General features: G+C 49.6%; 2 protein-coding genes across 3 annotated transcripts in view, besides 7 other annotated features; both read right to left on the bottom strand.

Annotated features, from left to right (window-relative positions):
• Positions 102 to 4,362, bottom strand: CDK5R1 (cyclin dependent kinase 5 regulatory subunit 1). Its single transcript, NM_003885.3, has 2 exons — positions 4,193 to 4,362; positions 102 to 3,879 (listed from the first exon to the last, which is right to left on the bottom strand). The coding sequence occupies exon 2, from the start codon at positions 3,732 to 3,734 to the stop codon at positions 2,811 to 2,813; it is 924 nt and encodes a 307-aa protein (NP_003876.1). The 5' UTR covers positions 3,735 to 3,879; positions 4,193 to 4,362; the 3' UTR covers positions 102 to 2,810.
• Positions 952 to 1,073: a silencer, noted in NCBI's record as "fragment chr17:30817300-30817421 (GRCh37/hg19 assembly coordinates)". NCBI's record gives its function as "represses an EF-1alpha promoter that drives an FKBP-Casp9 reporter gene in an ReSE screen in HepG2 liver carcinoma cells {active_cell/tissue: HepG2}" and the evidence as "EXISTENCE:reporter gene assay evidence [ECO:0000049][PMID:32094911]".
• Positions 3,276 to 3,835: an enhancer, noted in NCBI's record as "H3K27ac-H3K4me1 hESC enhancer chr17:30814538-30815097 (GRCh37/hg19 assembly coordinates)". NCBI's record gives its function as "activates a minimal SCP1, AML or CMV promoter by ChIP-STARR-seq in primed H9 embryonic stem cells {active_cell/tissue: H9 hESC(primed)}" and the evidence as "EXISTENCE:reporter gene assay evidence [ECO:0000049][PMID:30033119]".
• Positions 3,276 to 4,012: a biological region, named in NCBI's record as "H3K27ac-H3K4me1 hESC enhancer GRCh37_chr17:30814538-30815097".
• Positions 3,723 to 4,012: a silencer, noted in NCBI's record as "silent region_8424". NCBI's record gives its function as "represses an Ori minimal core promoter by ATAC-STARR-seq in GM12878 lymphoblastoid cells {active_cell/tissue: GM12878}" and the evidence as "EXISTENCE:reporter gene assay evidence [ECO:0000049][PMID:35858748]".
• Positions 4,103 to 4,362: a silencer, noted in NCBI's record as "silent region_8423". NCBI's record gives its function as "represses an Ori minimal core promoter by ATAC-STARR-seq in GM12878 lymphoblastoid cells {active_cell/tissue: GM12878}" and the evidence as "EXISTENCE:reporter gene assay evidence [ECO:0000049][PMID:35858748]".
• Positions 4,473 to 5,002: a silencer, noted in NCBI's record as "silent region_8422". NCBI's record gives its function as "represses an Ori minimal core promoter by ATAC-STARR-seq in GM12878 lymphoblastoid cells {active_cell/tissue: GM12878}" and the evidence as "EXISTENCE:reporter gene assay evidence [ECO:0000049][PMID:35858748]".
• Positions 5,075 to 5,576: an enhancer, noted in NCBI's record as "H3K4me1 hESC enhancer chr17:30812797-30813298 (GRCh37/hg19 assembly coordinates)". NCBI's record gives its function as "activates a minimal SCP1, AML or CMV promoter by ChIP-STARR-seq in naive H9 embryonic stem cells {active_cell/tissue: H9 hESC(naive)}" and the evidence as "EXISTENCE:reporter gene assay evidence [ECO:0000049][PMID:30033119]".
• The window catches only part of PSMD11 (proteasome 26S subunit, non-ATPase 11), a 38,810-nt gene continuing 26,019 nt past the window's right edge, over positions 8,036 to 20,826 (bottom strand). Inside the window, exons 7-14 of one of the 2 annotated variants that reach the window (NM_002815.4) lie at positions 17,410 to 17,554; positions 16,531 to 16,591; positions 13,772 to 13,834; positions 11,979 to 12,104; positions 11,469 to 11,504; positions 11,158 to 11,209; positions 10,724 to 10,866; positions 8,036 to 10,602 (exon numbers count right to left, since the gene is read on the bottom strand). In NM_002815.4, coding sequence (NP_002806.2) covers positions 10,724 to 10,866; positions 11,158 to 11,209; positions 11,469 to 11,504; positions 11,979 to 12,104; positions 13,772 to 13,834; positions 16,531 to 16,591; positions 17,410 to 17,554 — 626 coding nt within the window. In that variant the 3' untranslated portion in view covers positions 8,036 to 10,602. Of the gene's footprint in view, positions 10,867 to 11,157; positions 11,210 to 11,468; positions 11,505 to 11,978; positions 12,105 to 13,771; positions 13,835 to 16,530; positions 16,592 to 17,409; positions 17,555 to 20,826 lie in introns of both variants that reach the window. The other variant, NM_001270482.2, reaches the window with a different exon arrangement.

Below are 20,826 nucleotides of genomic sequence, written 5' to 3'. Positions count from 1 at the left end.
TGTCCTCCCCTCCCCAATAACACAAATCCAATTATGTTCTGAGTGCATGAATCATTTAGTAAAGGGGGCCCCAGCCTGCCCACAAAAAGAGGTCTCTGTAATGGATGGTCAGTGCATTTTATTGAATCAGCACAGTACAAAAATAAATAAAAATAAGGGAAGGGGAATTAAATTACAGCCAAACTGAGCTTCATGACTTTGTCAGATTATAAACCACACATACTCACAAACACACTACACATACATACAAAATGAGACAAATATAAATTAATATTAACAATACCCACAGTTTGGTCAAAGAATAGCTACAGAAGAAATTGCACTAAAAAACCAACATACATCACACGTGTGTAATTAGCAGTTTCAAATATACAGCTATGAATAATTCTGAGTGAAAAAAATGGCACATTTTCTTTTCATTGCAAGTTTAACTGTTGGAACAAAACTAAGTTCTAATAACTGCATGGAAAGAATATATCAACCCTCCAGGTTTACAAGAAAAAGAGAAAAACCAAATCCTGAACTATTATTCCTGTGGCTTGTTCTGTGCATGGGTGTAATTTTCACAGCCATCTGTTCTAAGATTATTTTTCTTAAGACACAAAATGCTCCTGGTTTGCATGCACAATATCACCGTAAAAGCAACAATTAAAGAATAAAGGTTTTTTTGTAGGTTTTTTTTTATTGTTGATCTAAAAGTAGTCTTCATAGCAGCATGGCAAATGGGTTCTTTGCTTGCACACTCAAGTATATCAGTTGTTCCTTTACACAATACTGATGACCAGTGCAAGGGGAGAGAACACGACAGGCTTCACACTGAGGGAACTAGAGAGTTCTTCCCTTAGTCCCCACCACTTCCGAAATGTCCACCTCCTCCGAAGAATAAAAAAATAAATACGGAGAAAGAGAAGGAAACAGACACGCAACTGGAATCCTGTGGATGCAACGTAACTGCACAGTTCGCAGCCAGGTTCCGCCAGCTGAGGGTGATACACACATGCGCCCTCCTCCTGAGACTTGGCACTGACCCTCCCTCTTCCATGCCACCAGGGGCCTCCCACCTCTGGTCGCACGCGGCAGCAGGATCTGAAGACAGGCTGTGTGGAAACCCAGCAGAGAGGAGGTGCTGTGTGAAGTCTGTGCCAGCAGCCGCAGGCTCCTTCCACCGCTGCACCGATTATCTGACAGTCCCAGGAACGGCTCTGCTGGGCCTCAGGTGCAGCAAGGCAGATGTTCTCCGGCCGGGCAGGCTCTCTTCCCCACCTCTGGGAATGCCTCCAGCCACCAGGTTCTGCCTCAGGACTCTTAAATTGGGACTTCAATTTCACAGCTTTCTTTTTGTGTAAATTTCAGTAGTGCATGTGCTGAAATCGGTAGCCACCTCGAACTTAATCCTATGTAAAGTGACCCTCTGCCTCCCCACCCCAGGTCCCCATTCCAGCACTCCCCAGTGGACTGGGCCTGGAAGACAGAATCCTCTGTAGTGTCTTCACATTGGTCTTTGTTCTCCACAGCCGAGTGATGGGCCATGGAGGAAGGCTTGCTCCCTCTCCCAAGTCCCAAGCCACCAATGCGGGAGAATTAGAAAGAAAATCAATAAAGTACACATTTGTGTTTTTACAGCCAGTAGGGTAAGGTGGAAACCAAAACCAGCAGCTGCAAATGATCAGTTGTAGAAATCAGCAGGCTTCCAGAGCAATCAGGAGTCTCACTCCCCGTCTTGTAATTGTCTCCAAGATCCGGCTGTCTCACTGGTCCTTGCTGGGCAAGGCTTCCTCTTTAGAAGAAACTCAACTGTTTAGAAACAGCTTTAAATTAACGGGTGGGGGTGGGGTCACCACATCGCCTTCCCCCCAGCTCTGCAGGACAAATGTCATGTGCACCAGCAAGAGGCCTTAGCCCTTAGGTGGGCACCGGCTTGGTCTCAAGGTATGGCATCCCTCACCTTGCCCAGAAGGCAGGCGTTGCTAATGGGCACCTGCAGCTGTCCTGGCATTTGCCACAGGGTGACTGCACTACATTATTCAAAAGAAAAACTCACCCAGGAAAGCTGTCCCCAGCTTCACCCCACCTCTTTAGCTGGGACCCAAATTGAGAGAAATTAATGAGTCAAACCAGCTCATCGGCCAATACCACCAACGTGGCTGGGAGCAGCAGACAAGGGGGTAGGGGGGCGAGTTCCATTTCTCCACTAAAGAAAAGCCCTTCTCCCTAAAAAAAGAAAACAGCAAATCAGGGCGGTGTGTGGTCAAACGACCAGACACAATCTTTCCACTAGACCCGCTCAGCTTCGCCTCGCCTAGATTGAAGATGTCCCCGGGTGGCGGGGATCTTGCCTCACGACCCCACTGGCAGCTCAGTTAGGGTGGCTGGCTCCAGGAGCCTCTGGGAGAGTGAATAACTCCACACAGGAGCCAGAAAAGGGCCTCCAACCAGAAACCCCAATTCCTCCCTGGGCCAGGCAGCCAGAGGCCCCTCTCTAGCTCCATACAGGGTGCAGCCGGCAGCCTTGCCTACCCTGGACCCAGCAAGGGCACAGGCGGCAGGGGCAGGTCAGTCCTTTGAGTTCCCCAAAGTGGGAGGTCAGTGGCCTGGGTGGCTCTGAATACATCTTCTGGGTTTTGCGCAAGGCTCGTGAGTTCAAAAGTGCCCAGAGTTCTTGGCAGGGATGAAAAAAACCCCAGGGAGAGACTGTGGGAAAGGTGAGGCCCTTGGTGGCTTTGCTAGACACATACTGTACACAAAACTGATTTAATAATAAATTCTTAAAAATGCATTGAATCCTTGAGCCATGACGCAGGCTACAGTGCTCACCGATCCAGGCCTAGGAGGAGCCGCTTCTTGTCCTCCTGGCCGCTCTCGTTCTTCAGGTCGGAGAAGACCTGTGTGAAGTAGTGTGGGTCGGCATTTATCTGCAGCATCTTTGAGCTCATGAGGTTGATGACAGAGAGGCAACGGTCCCAAAAGGCCTCCTTGCAGCTCTCCACCAGGAAGGGCTTGAGCGGGTAGGAGATCTCGTTGCCCATGTAGGAGTAGGAGAGGTACAGGCATGTCAGCAGGACGGCCTGGAGCTCGTGATCCGAGCCCACCTCGGAGGAGATAACATCCCTGCAGAGCATGTAGAGGAAGACCACGTTGGCCGGCGTGATGAAGCCCTGGTCCTGCCAGCCCTGCAGAAGCAGCGAGCGGTCCACGCTGCGCAGCCAGAGCACGGGGTCCGTGGGGGACAGGTGCTTCAGGCGGTAGCACCGGCGGCAGAGAAACTCACCCAGGCAGCGAAGCAGCTCACTGGTGGACGCCTGGACGATGACCCGTTTGGGCGTCCCTGCGGAGGTGACGGCAGGGTGAGGGGCTTTCTTGACTGAGGAGGAGCCCCCGGTCTGGGAACCCGAGAGCTGGCTGGCCGGGGGTGCAGGCGGCTGGGCCGGTGGGGGCTGGGCGAATGTGGACAGGTTGGCGCACGACAGCGACTTCTTCAGGTTCTCATTGTTGAGGTGCGTGATGTTGTTCTGGTAGCTGCTGTTGGGCTGCACCTTCTTGGAGTTCTTCTTCTTGGCCGACACGGCCACGATTCTCTTCCAAGGCAGCACGGAGATGATGGAGTGGCGCTTCAGGTTCTTGTCCTTGGCGTTCTTGCTGTTCTGTACGGCCGTATAGTGGCCCACGGTGGCCGCGCCATCCTCAAACAGCGTGGCCTTCCGGTAGCTGGGAGACAGGGACAGCACCGTGCCCATGGTGCTGCTGCGCGCCGGGCGGGGGCTCGCGCCCCTGCGCGCCCAGCCTGCCGGCCGGAGGGATAAAACCGCTCACCGAGCCTGCGGCGGCCCCGGAGAGGAGGCGGGGGCGCTCCCGGGAAGCGTGCTGCCCCCTTGGATCTGCCTGGAAAACAAGATGGTTCTTAGCGCCAGGCTGGGCTCCGCGCCGCGCCCCTGCGCCCCTGCGCCCCTCCGCCCCGCGCCTCGGCGCACCCCGCCGCCCCAGTCCCGGGCCCTACCCGCGCCCCCGCGACGCAGCCTCGCCGCCTCCACTGCAGCACCCCCGCCCGCCGCCGCCGCTGCGGTCCCCAGGCGCAGCCGGGAGGGGCCCGGTCGCCGACGGAGGCGGCCGAGGACCCCCGCCTGGACACCCCGCACGGGCGCGACCCCGGTCTCCGCTCCCCAGGGCCAAGGACGGCCGCCCAGCGCAGGCTTACCCGGCAGGCGGCAGCTCCTGCGCTCCGCGCCCTCCGCAATGCGCGCCGCGGCCCCGCCGCCGCGGTCCCGGCGCTCGGCGGCGCTCGGGGGCGCTCGGCGGGGATCGGCTGGGCTCGCGCTCGGCGGCGGCGACGGCGGCGGCGGCGGCGGCGGCAGCTAGGGAGCTTCTGTCCAAGGTTCTGCAGGCACCGCAGCCCCGCCCCCCGCTCGGCCGCCCGCACCTTCGCCGCCGCCGCCGCGCTCCCGCTCCCGCTCCCGCTTCCGGCGCGCGCCTCAGCGCCCTCCCTCGCGGGGCGCGCGCGCCGTCCACGCTCCGGCCTGGTCTCGCCGGGGAGTCGCGGCCGTTGGTGTCCTCAGCTCGAGCCGCGCACGGTGCGGGTAGGACGCGGCAACGAGCGGGAGGCACCTCTACGCGCCGGGCCCCATCTAGGAGCCGGACTCCGCGGCTGCGGCGGGACACGCGGCGTCGGCCCGCCCCGCCCCTCGGGGCCGCCCCTCCCGCACAGCTCGCCGCCCGCTCCGCGCCGCCGCCCAACAGCAGCCCGGCCGCCGGAGAGTCCTCGGCGCCCGCGCAACCCAACTCTGCCGACGCGGGGCGGGCGCCGAGCAGGGCGGAGCCGAGGGCCGACCCCGCCCGCGTCCCGCCCAGACACGTGCTGCCTTTGTTCCCGCCGCGGCGCCCGCAGCTGCCGGCCGCGGGGGCACTCTCGGCCGAGTCCCTGCCCTGGCAGCGCGCGGCCCGCCCTCTCTGAGGCTGCCGCCCTGGCCTGGTGAGGAGCCCTCCGCCGAGGCCAGGGTCCGGAGCTCCCTCCTTCCACCTGACATCCCCGTCCCTGTGGAAAGCAGCCAGGGAGCGCGGGGAAGAAGGCCCTGGGCGGGGAGAGGCGACGCCTTTACTGAGGCCTCCCGAGTGCCACGCGCACCTCGAGTGGACAGTCCAATCGGTTCTGGCCACCCCTCCGGGGCCTCCGTTCCCTCATCATGGGTAGATGACCGCGGCCGAAGTGGGCCTCAGAGATCCAAGCCAGAGAAGCGTGGCCCGTAGCCAAGCCTGAGCCCGTCACAAATATGACCTCTAAGTTCCCACTCGCCCTCTTATTTGTCATATTAAAGCTGAAGCAACTGCCCCTCCGGCCAGCTTTCTGACCCTCTTAAACGTTTTCAATTCTAAGTATGTATAATTTGAGAACTTGATGCTAGCGAAATTGAGTAAAATTCTGTTTCTGAAAGCTGTTCCTGTCAGATGTGAATCCAGATCCTTCACAAAGGCTGTTGTTCATTTACTATTTTACCTTGTTTCTGGAGATCGAGTCAAAACTGACCACAAACCTGGGAAACAGGAAACTTAAGCCCTGTCTTAATCCAGATTATCTCTGGACCTAGAGATGAGGGAGTGGCTCTCCAGAGGAGAGGATGCCACCCAGTTACCTGACCACTCCAGCCGACTAGGCTTTCACCAGCCCTGTCAACTGTCCTAGGGGGAACAGAAAGGGAATCTGGCATCATTCAAAATGGTGCAATCAAGGCAGAAAGTGCTGGGTTTTGTTTATGTGCCACTCAGATTTCTGTCAATAGGAATTCCAGGCTTTAGGAACCTTGGGGGGCAAGGCATACAGTGGAAAATGCATTGCTCTGTACCCAGAGGGCTACTTTGTCCACAGCCTTTCAGAACATCCACAACAGCTGTTATGGGAACTCAGAAGAGGAAGGCAGGCCCCCAGCTCAGTGCGCCCCTCCCTGTGAATGTTCCTCAGTGTACAAGCCTACCTGCTCTTCAAATGGAGCTGTCCTCAACCCTCCTGCATGTAACAGTAAGAAGCCAGAAGAGGCCGACGCAGTGGCTCATGCTTGTAATCCCAGTATTTTGGGAGGCCGAGGCGGGTGGATCACCTGAGGTCAGGAGTTCGAGACCAGCCTAGCCAACATGGTGAAACCCCGTCTCTACTAAAAATACAAAAAAAATTAGCCAGGCGTGGTGGCAGGCACCTGTAATCTCAGCTACTCAGGAGGCTGAGGCAGGAGAATCGCTTGAACCTGGGAGACAGAGGTTGCAGTGGGCCGAGATTGCACCATTGCACTCCAGCCTGGGCAACAAGAGCGAAACTCCATCTCAAAAAAAAAAAAAAAAAAAAAAAAAAAGCCAGAAGAAACGATTTGCTTCGAGACCCTGACCAAGTGTCCCTTTTCCTTCTCAAAGGAAAGCCGAACCCCAGCCTCTTTTCCTCAGCCCTTACTTGGAGCCTCTAGCTCCTGAGTTGGCTCTGTGCCCCCCTTCAGATTCTAGTGTTGAGCCAAGGTTAAATGTTTTCCACTTCCCAAAATATGTCCAAATTTTGAAGCCTATAATCCACCCCGGCCAGGCGTGATGGCCACACTGTGTCCAGCAGTTTCAGAGGCCAAGGCGGGCGGATCACCTGAGGTCAGGAGTTTGAGACCAGCCTGGCCAACATGGTGAAACCCGTCTCTACTAAAAAAATTAGCTGGGCGTGGTGGCGGGTGCCTATAATCCCAGCTACTCGGGAGGCTGAGGCAGGAGAATAGCTTGAACCCGGGAGGCAGAGGTTGCAGTGAGCTGAGATTGTGCCACTGCATTCCAGCCTGGGTGACAGAGTGACACTTCGGCTAAAAAAAGAAAAATCCACCCCCTAGAAAAACCTGGGCCCACTCTGTTACCTTTAACTCTCAATCTCAATTCTAGCTATTCCAATTCACGGGGAGGCGGACCAAGCTCACCCCACTACCCTGCTTCCCACTCTGCAGCAGCATGCCTCTGCATGGGCCTTTTCAAGCCAGGCCATACCCTGTGTCTTCTCACCTTTGTCCAGCCAGCCTTTCCCTAGCACCTTCAAACAGAGCTCTCGGCAGAACACCAGCCTCCTCACACTTGCCCAAGGCAAAGTCACAGTTGCAGCACAGCAGGAATGGGATGGCACTGGCAGCCCACTTGCTGCTGCGACTAAGGGAGGGGTCTCCAGGAGCTCCTATCACCCAGGCCATGCCTGTTATGCTGGTTTTCAGACACCACAGAGCTCCTCTTTTCATTCAACCCACCACCACCTCCCCACCCCCAGTTCCTATCACTGCTCCAACTGGAAGCAAGGAAGAAAGGACAGTCAACTGCCAGAAATGGCAGAACCAAGGACCCAGAAGGCAGACCCAGTTGAATGAGGCAGAGCTGTTTTCTTCCTAGCTGCCTTCATCATAGAACTGCAGGGAAGATTTCCAAATCCCACCCCCATCAATCAGCCTACTTAGCCTATTGCCTATCTCTAGCTGCCTGAAGGGCCAGCCTGCTTGTTAGCTTCCCTGCTGGGCTGGGCTGCCCGTGGACTGCCGGAGAGTCCACTCTTCCTGCATGCCCCACTTCCCATAGCATCCCGAGGGAGGGAGGTCAAGGCGGGGGCCAGCTACAGCTTCCAAGAAGGGTTCCAAATAGAGCAGGCCTGAGCCCTTACTCCTGAGGAAGTCGGCTTTGTTCTTTCAGGGATCACAGAGCAGCATCTAGTGGCCCTTCTGAGCAGCACAGATTACATAACTAGCACACAGCAGGGGACCAGAGCCTCTGCTCCCAACTCCAGTAGAGTCTCATTAACACACAAGAAAGTCCTGGCACCATGAAGGCTGGAGCCCAGAAGGGAGGTGAGGGAGCCGGGCCCAGGCCAGCCCACCGGCCAGCTGACCTTCCCAGCTGTGCCTGGACTCAGGTCATGAGAGGCCTGGGAGAGGAGGCAGTGACACAACTGCTGGTCCTGGAGGTCTAGAGCTGCGCTGTCCAGATAGAAGCCACATAGGTAACTTTATATTTTCTAGCAGCCACATTACACAAGTAAAAGGGAAACAGGTGAATTTTAATAATATATTTTATTTAACCCAATACCCAAAATATTTCAACACATATATAAAAAAGTTATTGACATATTTTACACTCCTTTTCTTTTGTTATCATACTAAGCCTTCGAAGTCTGGTTTGTGTTTACACTTGCAGTGTATCACAGCTCGAACCAGCCACGTTGCAAGGGCCTGACAGCTGCACATGGCTAGCGGCTACATATTGGACAGCACGGGTCTAGAGGGCATCATCTGACCAAGACCCGCAAAGGGAACTGAGAAAAGGGCTACTGCCTGAGCATCTCAGGACTGCCCTAAGTTTGAGAAAACATCTCCCCTCTACTCCAAAACTAGATCTCTTTGGAGTACTTTTTAAAGTCCTTTATAGAAGCAAAGCTCTTTCTGCAAGTGAAATACAGAGACACAATACTAAAACTGACAATGGCTGAACTGCTCAGACTGAAGAGGATTTAGCAGGTCCCCCAGTGGTCCCAGAGCCCCCCGCCCCCGCCAGGGTGTGAGGCAATATGAAAATCGCTGCCTTTGAAGATTCCAAAAGGAAACGAAACCACAACTGCATGTCAGGACTCTCCAGACACCTGCACGTCTATGACTTACTAAGCTTCACATCACAATCACCTGCCAAGGAAGCAGCATCCTCACTGAGTAGAAGAGAAAGTAGGCTCAGAGGATCTACTGCCCAAACTTACATGTGCTCACTGGACCATGCTGCCCTGGAAGAAGACACCTGAACTCATTTCCAACCTCAGAACTCACACACCAACTTTCTTGCCCCCAAAGCCCTCCAAGTTTGGACCCCAAATTTACCTTAAGGACTCCCATTACACAAATGAGATAACAGCTTTGGCCAGATGAGAGCTAGACTAGTGTGGGGCCACACAGAGCTGTCTGGACTTGCTTGGAAGCCCTCCAGCACTCAAGAAAAAGACACCTTTTGAAAAAAAAAAAAATTATTTTTATTGGAACTCATCTGAACATCAGATATACCTGGTGTTGGTTAGCAAGAACCGTTTGTACATTTGATACTGATGGTGCCAAAACCAAAACAGTGACTAGACATGATGGGGAAAGATGTTGAGAACAAAAACCTGATTTTGGAGAGGAAAATAAAAGCCAGTCAGATTCAGTGAGGATGCAAAACCTGGTACAACAAAATCCTTTTACAAAATATAAATTTATTATGAAAACCTGGAAGGATAATCCAAGGAAGGTAAAGAAAGAGAAAAGGAGGCCAGCAGAAGAAGGCAGGAAGGAGAGGAAAAGAGAAAAAGACAAAGAGGAGATGAGAGAAGAAAATACAGTTCAGCACAACAGAAGTGCAGAAGCTCACCTACCCAAATGGCATTAAAGCCTCGCTGTGTAATCGTGTCAGAAAACAAAGCATACTGACACATAGTGCTCTACTTCCCATCCACTTGAGTTCTAAGAGGTAAATTAAAAAGCTCCCTGGGAAGGGGACATGAGGTTGCTCAAAAACCCAACAAAGAAAATTAAAAAAAAAAGAGAGAGAGAAACCACACCCCACAGTCTCATTTCCGATGTTCATTGTTTAAAAAAGGAATAAATCCATCTGAAAGTAGGAGAGGAGGAGTGGGAGAGGGAGAGAAGCTCATGGCTTTCACAGACAGCCTGACTCCCCTGGAGGGGAGAGGAGGAAGGCAGAGAGACATGATGGTCTCCTGGTTGAGAGGGGAAAGAGAAGGGACAGAGAGGAAAGAAGAGAGGAGAGGAATGCAGGAGAGGAGAAGAGGGGCAATTAAAACACTGACGACTAATCTAGTTTACTGTGTTTAAAAAAAAAAAAAAAGCCACATGCATAGCAGGCCCCTTGGGGGCTAAGGGCCCACACTGCTCCCTGTGTGGCCGTGGTAGACACTAGCTCCTGGCCTCATCCCCATTCCTTCACAGGTCAGAGTGGAGCTATGCAGGCGCTGCTGCTGCTGCTGCTGTTGTTGCTGCAGTGGTGGTGGTGGTGGCGGCGGCGGCAGGACCTTCGGCTACTCTGCTGGAGCCAATGTGGGGAGGGAAGGGCAGACAGGCCGTATGGTAGGGGAAAGAACACCAAAATGCCTCATTTCAAATAAAAAAGAAAACAGCAGTCTATACACAGTTGTTTGTTTTGGTTCAGTACAAACAGAATAAAAAGTCATTGCTTTTGATGGTCAGCAAACACCCAATTCTGAGGAGGAGGAGAGGTGATGCCCAGCAGGTGGATTAGGACCCCCAGTGGTTGGCGGGGTGCCTGGCTTTGCGGCCCTCTCCCAGGAGGCAGAGAGCACAGCTTTAGGTAGTGTAAGCCTTTTTCCTTTTATTTAGAATAATCTTTTTTTTTTTCTTTTTCTTTTTTTTTAAGCAATTTCCCCACTCCCAAGTTGGGCCAGTAAAGATTACATGAAAACTGGCACACCTATTGGCTGGAATACAGATGCACCAAATGAGGATTTAAAAACTTTCCGAGCGAAAAGTAGAACAAAAAGAAAAAAGAATCTCCTAGCATTTTCCCCCAAGGTTTCACTCTCCCGCCACACACACTCTCCAAAGGACCGCTACAGATCCAACTCTGCAAGAGAAGACAGAGCAGTGTCAATCAGGAAGCCATGAGGACACCAGGAGGAGGTTTTCAGTCTCGACACGCAGAAGACAGAGCTGCCCAGCCCTGGGGTCCTGAAGCCAGCACTCACCTATGTCAGTTTCTTGGCTTTGTTGTAGAGGGAATCCACTACTTTGCTCATGTTCTGAATTGTTTCCAGAGCAGCTTCGTAAGTTTTATCTACTGGGGGTTCATCGAAAATAATCAGGACACCCTCCCCCTGGTCCAAAATCCCTGCAAGAAACACAAGGGCAACCCAGGTAAAAGATGAGGTTAGACACAAAAGTGTTTGTGAAGCAGCCCACTCCCTAGTTGACTCACTGTGTCCAGAAAAGAAGGGAAATAGAATTCATCTCCCTATTCCATGTACACATGCTTATTACACATTCTCATCACAGGGAAGAGGGGCCAGGACCCCAGGGTGAACCATCGGGGGAAACAAATAGAACATCTTCTTTGAAAATAAACTTCTTCAACCATCTCATCACCACCACCAGCCCCCTTGCCTGTGTGACTGTTACTTACCATGAAATTTCTTGTCAAGAATCATCTGTGATAATTTCCTTTCCACGTCGGCCTAAAATCAAAGCACATGATTAAAGGGACCAGTATCCACTAGTCAGAGATCACCCTGACACAGTAGCTTTGTTGGAGGGGTCTTAGGCCAAATGGACTGAAAACAAAATAGCAACAATGCAACTCCTACTCTAGTCCACACTGCCCATTCCCCACTGAGAAGCTGGGGAGCTTTCCAATGAGGCCAATCAGGTGCATGTGCCACCCCTCCTCGCCACCCCGTCCCATTCCTCCCTGCAGATGGCCTTAAGACTCCTTACCTTGGAGAGTTTGATGAGACTAGATATGTGTTCAATCTAAAAGGAAAGGCAGAGAGACACCAACACTGAAAGTTTTACTTTTGCCTCCAATAAGAGAAGGGAGGGAACAGGGGGAGAACTGCTGTATTTCTCAAAATTCTAATGTAAGACCCTCCTTGGCCGTGCTTAAGTCTCTTGTTCTCTGCCCATCTGCCTGCCCTTCACTGCTACACACAATAAACAGACTCTTATCCCACACACCCAATACAGAAAACAGGTACAACACATGCAGTGACTAAAAGCGAGGAGGAAACTGCTCAGAACACATGCAGGGGCAACCCACATGCCTCTACCCACAGCATCTCTCTCCTCGATTTTTGTTCATTTTATCAACAGAGGCCCAAGCTCTTGGTGGCCTCTTGCCCACCAGGCACACCCCTAGAAGTGAGTTCCCATTCTGGACAGGTGTGGAAGGGAGGTGGCTACAGTGAGAATGCCTGGCCAGAAATGGAGTCCCCAGAGGGTTCTCACCTGTACTCTGGAAAAAGGCTCAATGACTCGGATCAGATTCTGTTCTAGTAAGTTATCATACAACTTGGCCAAGTGTGTGCTGATGATTGGGTCATCCCGGAGCTCTGCCCGGTAATCTGTCAGAGCCTGCCAAAGGAACCAGTTGCAGAGATTGGCACAGAGAATCACTTTAAAGTCATGCTACTCCTGCTTCCTAGATAGTCTGCTGGCCCTTATAAAACTACATGGTTGAATGAAGTTAGGGGAGATCTGGGGAGATGCATGATACAAAGCAGAAAAGGAATGTCAAGAACTGAAAGGGAAGTTTGGCTTGGTGGCACGCACCTGGAGTCCCAGTCACTCGGGAGGCTCATGTGGGAGGACTGCTGGAGCCCAAGAGTTCAAGTCCAGCTTGGGCAACACAGAGAGCCTCCATCTCTAAAAATAAATTTTTAAAAATGCTATTTTATGGTAGTCTCTAAGAGAAAAAAAAAATACAAAATAGAACAAAAAGGTGGAGTCACCCTAGGGACCATCTTTCTGTCTGCAGGCTTCAGGTGAACAGCTCAAACCATGTAAGCCCCAAGAGCAACTCAGCTCATGAACCAAATTAGCTACACAAGCATTTCTCAGCATGTATTCTACAGAATAAATAGGGTCTCCATGGGGGGGAAAAAAAGAACATTGAGGTTAAAGAATAGGAAATGCTGAATTCCACAACTAGCTCTTGGGAGTTTTATGAGGACCATCAGCATAACATGGCTCTGCAATGATTAAGCAAAATTAGGTGTTTTAATTATTATTAGCCCTAGTATTTTGTTTAGCCCTAGTATTTCCCAAATATCTAATCACAGAATCCTTCTTCCAAGGAACTATTTGGAATAAAAGTGTCCCATCAAACATCTCAGACATTGGGATAAAATGATCTAGACCAAGTATTCATGTGTGTGATTTACTGGACCATCAGTAATGGTCTCAACATCCCAGCCTCATGTCAGCTGTGCTACAAGGTGTTAAGGGAAGCAGGCGAATCATGCCAAGTAAGACGCAATAGGAATTGGCAAGAGCCCTCCAGGAAGATGGTGAATCTCAGGGACAGTCAAAGCCACATGGTCTAGTCTCCATCCACACTAAGTTTTTCTCTCTGGATCTAGGTTTTGTTTTTATTAAGTTGATCATTATACTCAGACTAAAAGGAGAGAGGTTCAGGAAAGACTATATAATTCTCACCCTAATGCCCAGACAGGCTTTTCTCCCTTTTCAAAACTCCCAAACAATGAGCAAAATGCACCAGGGTTAAAGAAAGCCTAGATCATCACCCTGAGGACGTTTCTTTGGGTCCAAGTACGCACATCAAGACTTCCCTTCTGTCCACAGAGGAGCAGACCTGGCATTTCTGGAGCTGAAGGAATGCCTACAACTGTGTCATGTGGAACAAGCACTAGGCCTAGAGTCAAACTCTGACCCTATGCTGTGTGACTTTGAGTGTCCTCCTGAATCCCAGTTCCCTTAACCATAAAATGCAGATAATAAATAGGTGTGTTGTGAAAAATCAAAGTGAAAAAAGGACAGAAAGAACTTTTGAAATAGAAAGGTATTATGTATAAATAATATATATTTTATATCAACTCAGTAAGTTTCATTGTACAAAGTGCTTAACTATTTCCTGGTTTTAATACTGTCCTAGGTGAAGGATACATGGAATCATTTGCAACTTCTTTTGAAACTATAATTATTTTTAAAAGTGTGTTTTGAAGTACTTAAACGTCCCTCTCTTCCACTCACATTCCATACCAACCCAATATCATACTCACCTTTTCAAAATCTGCCAGTGATCTGTTCTTGCTAGCCTGAGCCACGCATTTTAATGCTTCTGTCTGAGAATAAAGAGACAAACCATGAAAGCGATTTATTCTGCACACTAACATTTACCCAAGTCTCATAAGCAGTATGCTGTGTCCACACAACTTCTGCCAAAAGGAAGAACCCGCCCCACCATCGTTCTTCTTCAGACGCCCGGGAAGAAGAGCCGCAAGTACTGAATACCACTATATGCCAACCTGTTTCCCTTTGAAACCTGAAATGACTTAATAATACTAGGAAACAGAAATTTTCCAAACAGACCGACCCTAATATAGCATTCTCTAGAGATGACAAGCTAAAAGGAAAAATGACAAGAGAACTGTGATTTCTTCTCCCTTCCTCCAAGGCTTGTTATCGCCACATCCACCCAAACTCCTTCTTGCCCTTAGACCCTATTATATCTGTGCTTTATCAAGATTCATTCTGCTAGGTTTGGAACAAGGCACTGAACAAGGTCTACCTCATTAACACTGAGGCATCAAGGCCAGGCACAGTGGCTCACACCTGTAATCCCACCACTTTGGGAGGCCGAGGTGGGCAGATCACTTGAGGTTCAGGAGTTCGAGACCAGCCTGGCCAACATGGTGAAACTCCCTTCTCTACTTAGCCGGGCATAGTGGTGGACGCCTGTAATCCCAGCTACTTGGGAGGCTGAGGCAGGAGAATTGCTAGAACCCAGGAGGCAGAGGTTGCAGTGAGCCAAGATCATGCCACTGCACTGCAGCTGGGTGATAGAAAAAGAATCCGTCTCAAAAAAAGGTTGCGGCATTAACATATTACACCAAATGTTAAGACCCCACAGAGTGATGAAGGTATAATCAATAGTTGAGAACAACTTCTAACATGGTTAAAAAAGGCACCTGACCAAGCTATTAAGTCTCCACTCAGCAAAAAATCTGCAACACTCATCTTTCTGGGAGATTAGCCTATCTCCTGCTTAAAAGCTAACATCAAAGGCGCAAGGGACTAAGAGAAGCTGCTCTTTTATCAGCCTACATGCTTATATAAGAACAGTGTGTCTTATACAGTAGACTACATGGTGCAAGGCTAATCATTAGTGTGTTTGTCTCCAGCATTTGTCCTATAGACAGAAAAAAGTGTCAAAATGAGAAAAGCCTGGAACTTAGAGCCAATGACCCTAATTCAAAGTCTAGCTCCACCATTGATTAGCTACCTGACCTTGCCCTGAACACTTGGATGTCCCTGAGCCTGTCTCCTCAACTCTAGTTATAGTGAGAGTAGTGCATCTTTCTTATTTATTATTTTTTAAGACAGAGTCTCACTCTGTCGCCCAGGTTAGAGTACAGTGGTGCTATCTTGGCTTACTGCAACTTCCACTCCCCGTTTGAAGTGATTCTCCTGCCTCAGCCTCCTGAGTAGCTGGGATTACAGCCACCAATGCACTACCATGCCCGGCTAATTTTTGTATTTTTAATAGAGCTGGGATTTTGCCACATTGGCCAGGCTGCTCTCAAACTGCTGACCTCAAGTGATCCGCCCACCTCAGCCGCCCAAAGTGCTGGGATTACAGGCATGAGCCACCACGTCCAGCCCCTAATTGGCTTTTTATCAGCAAAAGTTTCAGGTCAGCTCCTGGTTTTGACCTCAAGAGTACCGGTTATTACTATACTGGAAGATGCGTGGCTGGATGCAGTGGCTCACACCTACAATCCCAGCACTTTTGGAGGTTGAGGTGGGCGGATCACTTGAGGTTAGGAGTTTGGGACAGCCTGGCCAAGATGGCAAAACCCTGTCTCTACTACAAAAAATTAGCCGGGCATAGTGGCGGATGCCTGTAATCCCAGCTACTCGGGAGGCTGAGACAGGAGAATCACTTCAAACTGGGAGGAGGAGGATGCAGTGAGCCGAGATACGCCACTGCACTCCAGCCTGAATGAAAGAATGAGACTCCAACTCAAAAAAAAAAAAAAAGCCAATTAGGGCCACTTGTAGAGAGGGAAGAAATCATCTATGTGGCCACTCCTCCAGAGATACAGTGAGATTATATAGACAGCCAATCAGTCTGTGTTTAGAGACCACTGCAGTTGAAATCCAGAAAGATTACACTTACTTTACTAGTGATAATCAAGCAAAATACAAAGAGGAGACAGTCTAGACGTCATCTTTGCGTAGGTCCTAACTGTCTGCTCTCAGAAGTCACACTCATACCTACTTGGGCATTAAGGTAACAAAAAAAAAAAAAGGGCCTCTTTTTGCACCACACCCAAAATTCAAAGCACGAGTAGAAAGGTACTGATCTGAGAAGCACAGAAGTAAATCTCAAAACCTAGTTTCTGCACCAAGCAATCAGACCTCTCTAAAGCACATATGCACCAGACCTTACCAGGCTCCTAACCTGGAGAATCTAAGATTTCATACCCTGCCTATGTTAAATTCACAACTCAGACTCGTGGTAGATAAATCTTCTGGTCAAAGCCAAATGCAAACTAACTCACTGCAAATGCTACAGTTCAGTTCCCTAAGTCCCTCAAACAACGTGATGTCCATAAGAGCACCAAACGCTGACTTTCCAGGCCAAGAATTTAACAGTCTGGGAAACACACTGAATGGGCTTAAGGGAAGGAAGTGAGTGGGGCAGAAGGAAGAGAGTAGTATGAAGATCTGAAGAGTGCTGGTCTCATCAAACGTTGTGACTCTGAAAACATGCTGGTCTCAGAGTGAGCAGAACTGCAGTCAAGGGAGTCCCTACCTGCCTCCCTGCATACCGAAGTGCAAGCTTCCCGCTCACCAAAGCCTGGACATCTTCTGGGCTAGAAAAAAAGACATACTTGGTCAATTGCTGCAGATGTTATGCTTCTAAAGGAAGGTTTGGGCAAATTTCTTTTTAACAGAATTCCATTGTAATAAAGACTCTGCCCACACAGACAATCAGCCCAACCCCTAAACCCATATGCCCATCACATTGCAAAAGCTAGGTTTTCTCCACTCTGGGTCACAGCTCAGCCTGAAGAGTAGAAAAACTCCAATGTTAGAAAGCTGAACTGAACCTACCAAAAGCAATAGACACAACAAGCAGAACTATAAGTTTAAGTCAAATCCCAGTGTAACAGGTATTATTAAAACATAGCCCTTATGTAATCCAAAGATCCAGAGAGAGTTCTTAGTCAATATTTCATTTATTCCCAAAAGAATTGAATAATTCTGTAGACTTCTTTATAAGTAGGTCTGTCATACTTTTGTTGTCCACTTTTTCAAACCTCTCCTTAACCCTTCCTTCCTCATTCTGGGTGGCTCAGTTGGCTGTTACTGGCTGATCTGTAAGCTATTTCCTGACCCTCTGTCCTGTGCTCTGCACCTATGAGGACAGAATATTTAAAGGATGAGGAGAATTCTCCAAGAGGAGCTGGGAAGGGGATTTCTAAAATGTCTGCCTGATTCTGAAAGACTAGCAAGCGAAAGTTTTCTGGACCACTTTTGATCCTCCCGCTCTACCTTAGCCAGCCCTAGAGGCCGCAGCTGCTGCTGTTTCTGTAACTGGCCAAACTCCCTGCTCAGGCCATCTCTGCCATGGCAAACAGACTTGCTGAAGGATCTGAGTTCTTGTAGTCCAGAGTTAAGGTGCACCTACGTGTTGAGCATGATTTTGCACAGCAACATGTACTTCAGAGATGTGATGGCCTTGGGGCTGTCGATGGAGTCATAACCCTCAAATGCCTCATAGAAGTATGAGTACGCAGTTTTCCAGTCCTTCTCTTCTGCTGCATGGATAATACCTGGGCATTGAAAAGAAAGGAATAAGAACATATAAAATAATAGAGCCATAAAAGATCAGAGCTGGGAGGCAGCTTAGACATCTACCTAAATGGGCACGGTGGCTCACACCTGTAAATCCACACTTTGGGAGGCTGAGATGGGAGGATCATGTGAGCCCAGGAGTTCGAGACAAGCCTGAGTAACATAGTAAGACCCCATCTCTTGAAAAAAAAAAAAATGCTGGGCACGGTTTCAGCTCACGCCTATAATCCCAGCACTTTGGGAGGCTGAGGCAGGCGGATCACCTGAGGTCAGGAGCTCAAGATCAGACTGACCAACATGGACAAATCCCATCTCTACTAAAATTACAAAAAAAATTAGCTGGGTGTGGTAGCGCATGCCTGTAATCCCTGCTACTCGGGAGGCTGAGGAAGGAGAATCACTTCAACCCAGGAAGCGGAGGTTGCGGTGAGCCGAGATTGCGCCACTGCACTCCAGCCTGGGCAACAAGGGCAAACTTCCGTCTCAAAAAAAAAAAGCCAGGTGCAGGGGTTCACTCCTGTAATCTCGGCACTTTTGAGAGGCTGAGGCAGGAGGATAGCTTGAGCCCAAGAGTTTGAGCCTAAGTAACAGAGTTAGATGTTGTCTCTTTATTTTTTTTTTTGAGCCGAGTCTCACTCTGTCACTGAGGCTGGAGTGCAATGGCGCAATCTCAGCTCACGGCAACCTCCGCCTCGTGGGTTCAAGCAATTCTCCTGCCTCAGCCTCCCAAGTAGCTGGGATTACAGGCACCCACTACCACGCCCGGCTAATTTTTTGTATTTTTAGTAGAGACTGGTTTCACCGTATGTTCGCCAGGCTAGTCTTGAACTCCTGACCTCAAGTGATCCACCCGCCTCGGCTTCCCAAAGTGCTGGGATTACAGGTGTGAGCCACCACACCCAGCCGACCTTGTCTCTTAAAAAAAAAAAAAAAAAAGAAAAAGGCCGGGCATGGTGGCTCATGCCTGTAATCCCAGCACTTTGGGAGGCAGAAGCAGGAGGGTCATCTGAGGTCAGGATTTCAAGACCAGCCTGGCCAACATGGTAAAAACCTGTCTCTACTAAAAATACTAAACCAGCCAGGCATGGTGGCGGGCACCTGTAATCCCAGCTACTTGGGAGGCTGAGGCAGGAGAATCTCTTGAACCCAGGAGGTGGAGGTTGCAGTGAGCTGAGATCACGCCACAGCACTCCAACTTGGGCGACAGAGTGAGACTCCGTCTTAAAAAAAAAAAAAAGAGGTCAGGCACAGTGGCTCACGTCTGTAAACTCTAACGTCTATAATCCCAGCACTTTGGGAGGCCAAGGCAGCCAGATCACTTGAGGGTCAGGAGATCGAGATCAGCTTGGCCAACAAGGCAAAACGCCATCTCTACTAAAAATACAAAAATTAGCCGGCCTTGGTGGTACATGCCTGTAATCCCAGCTACTCAGGTGGCTGAGGCAGGAGAATCACTTGAATCCAGGAGGTAGAGGTTGCAGTGAGCCGAGGTCACGTCACTGCACTCCAGCCTGGGCAACAGAGCAAGACACTGTCTCAAAAAAAAAAAAAAACTCTACGTCAACTCCACCAACCTACTGATGAGGTCAGGAAAGGATAAAGAACCTGCTCTGCCAGGCACAGTGGCTCACATCTGTAATCTCAACACTTTGGGAGGCCAAGGCAGGTGGATCACCTGAACCTAGGAGCTCAAGACCAGCCTAGGCAACAGGGTGAAACCCCATCTCTACAAAAAATTAGCCAGGCGTGGTGGCACATGCCTGTAGCCCCAGCTACTTACTCATGAGACTGAGGTAGGAGGATCACGTGAGCCTGGGAGGCTGATGATAGCGATGGGAGCTGTGATAGCAAAAATGCACTGCAGCATGGGTGAAAAAGTGAGACCGTCTAAAAAAAAAAAAACCTGCCCAAAGTCACCATAGTCAGCAATTTGACAGCTGAGATTAGAAGATGAGAATCCAAGTCTCTGACCTCCCAGCTCAATGTCATATTGCCAATATAAGTTCCCAAAGGAGTTAGAGACTCAACTTAAAAGGGACCTGAAAAACACATACTGTACCATCTTTCTTCCATGCTTCTCACCACCATTCCAGTCCTGCTATCTTTTGGAGCCACAGGAAAAGGCCATGTTTACCCTCCATGACATCACATTCACAGGTCAGGGAGTTGACCTAAACATCTCTAGACTGCCTGAATGACCTGTTCTAATAATATTAACTACTTTAAGATAGCTTTTCTAAGCCTGATAGTTTTATATTTATGCAACTGTCATGGGGCATGGGAGAGGGAATCCAACATCTTATATTTTCATTTCAAATATTTATCATTTGTGGATGTGCTTTTGCCTAAATGCACTCAGTGTACAGCTTTCACATAATGCCAAATCCATGAACTTAATTATACATGGCTAAGCAGTATTTCTTCAGACTGATATACCATAGTTGACCTAACCAATCCCCTATTGCTTAGAAGTTGAGTTGCTCCCAATGAGCTTAACTTTGATTGAACCTGCTACTACTGCCAACCTATGCTATCACTTGGGATAACATAAAAATTAGTTCTTTCCAAGCTTGGGAGGCATCTAAACCCTAAAATTCTCTATTTGTGTATATTAGCTCTAACTCTGCCCCAGCCCTTTAAGAAGTTACAGACCTCAGCCCCATCCATTTGTTTACCACAACTGCTTCCCAACATCTTTCACATCGAGATACATGTAGAAAGTATTTAGCACACTAGAGTCAAAGGATGACGCTGCTGACACATGATCCAAAGAACTCAATACCAGCAGGAACCTTCTGACTTCACCATTTATTGAGTGATGCGTCCTTCCAGCCTACTCAAAAAACCTCCCACTTTGGGTTTGTGGGAATCAGATCCTTTTTCTACTACTGTTAAGTATAGAGGCCTCAAGGAATATCTGCTCTTCTCTGTAGCTAAGGAAAGCCCCTTCAACAACCCAACAAACCATTAATGCTGCTAAACTAAATGAGACACATCTCCATTTTTCCACATCTCCCAGTATAGAGAGAGAATAAGCCAGACCCAAAAATATGTATGGTTAAAAAACAAATAAATAAAATAAGGCCCAAGAACTGGTATACTGCTTTGCCAAACACATTAGTTAACAGGGGCCATATCAGCACTCTGAGTGTCATGGCTGGCACATGAGGTTTATTGTTAAAAACAGAAACAGGCCAGGCACAGTGGCTCATGCCTATAATCCTAGCACTTTGGGAGGCAGAGGCGTGCA

The sequence above is a fragment of the Homo sapiens genome, chromosome 17, assembly GCF_000001405.40.
Source record: "Homo sapiens chromosome 17, GRCh38.p14 Primary Assembly".
NCBI lineage: Eukaryota > Metazoa > Chordata > Mammalia > Primates > Hominidae > Homo > Homo sapiens.
Note: the sequence above shows the minus strand (reverse complement) of the source record. Positions and strands in the feature narration are given on the sequence as shown.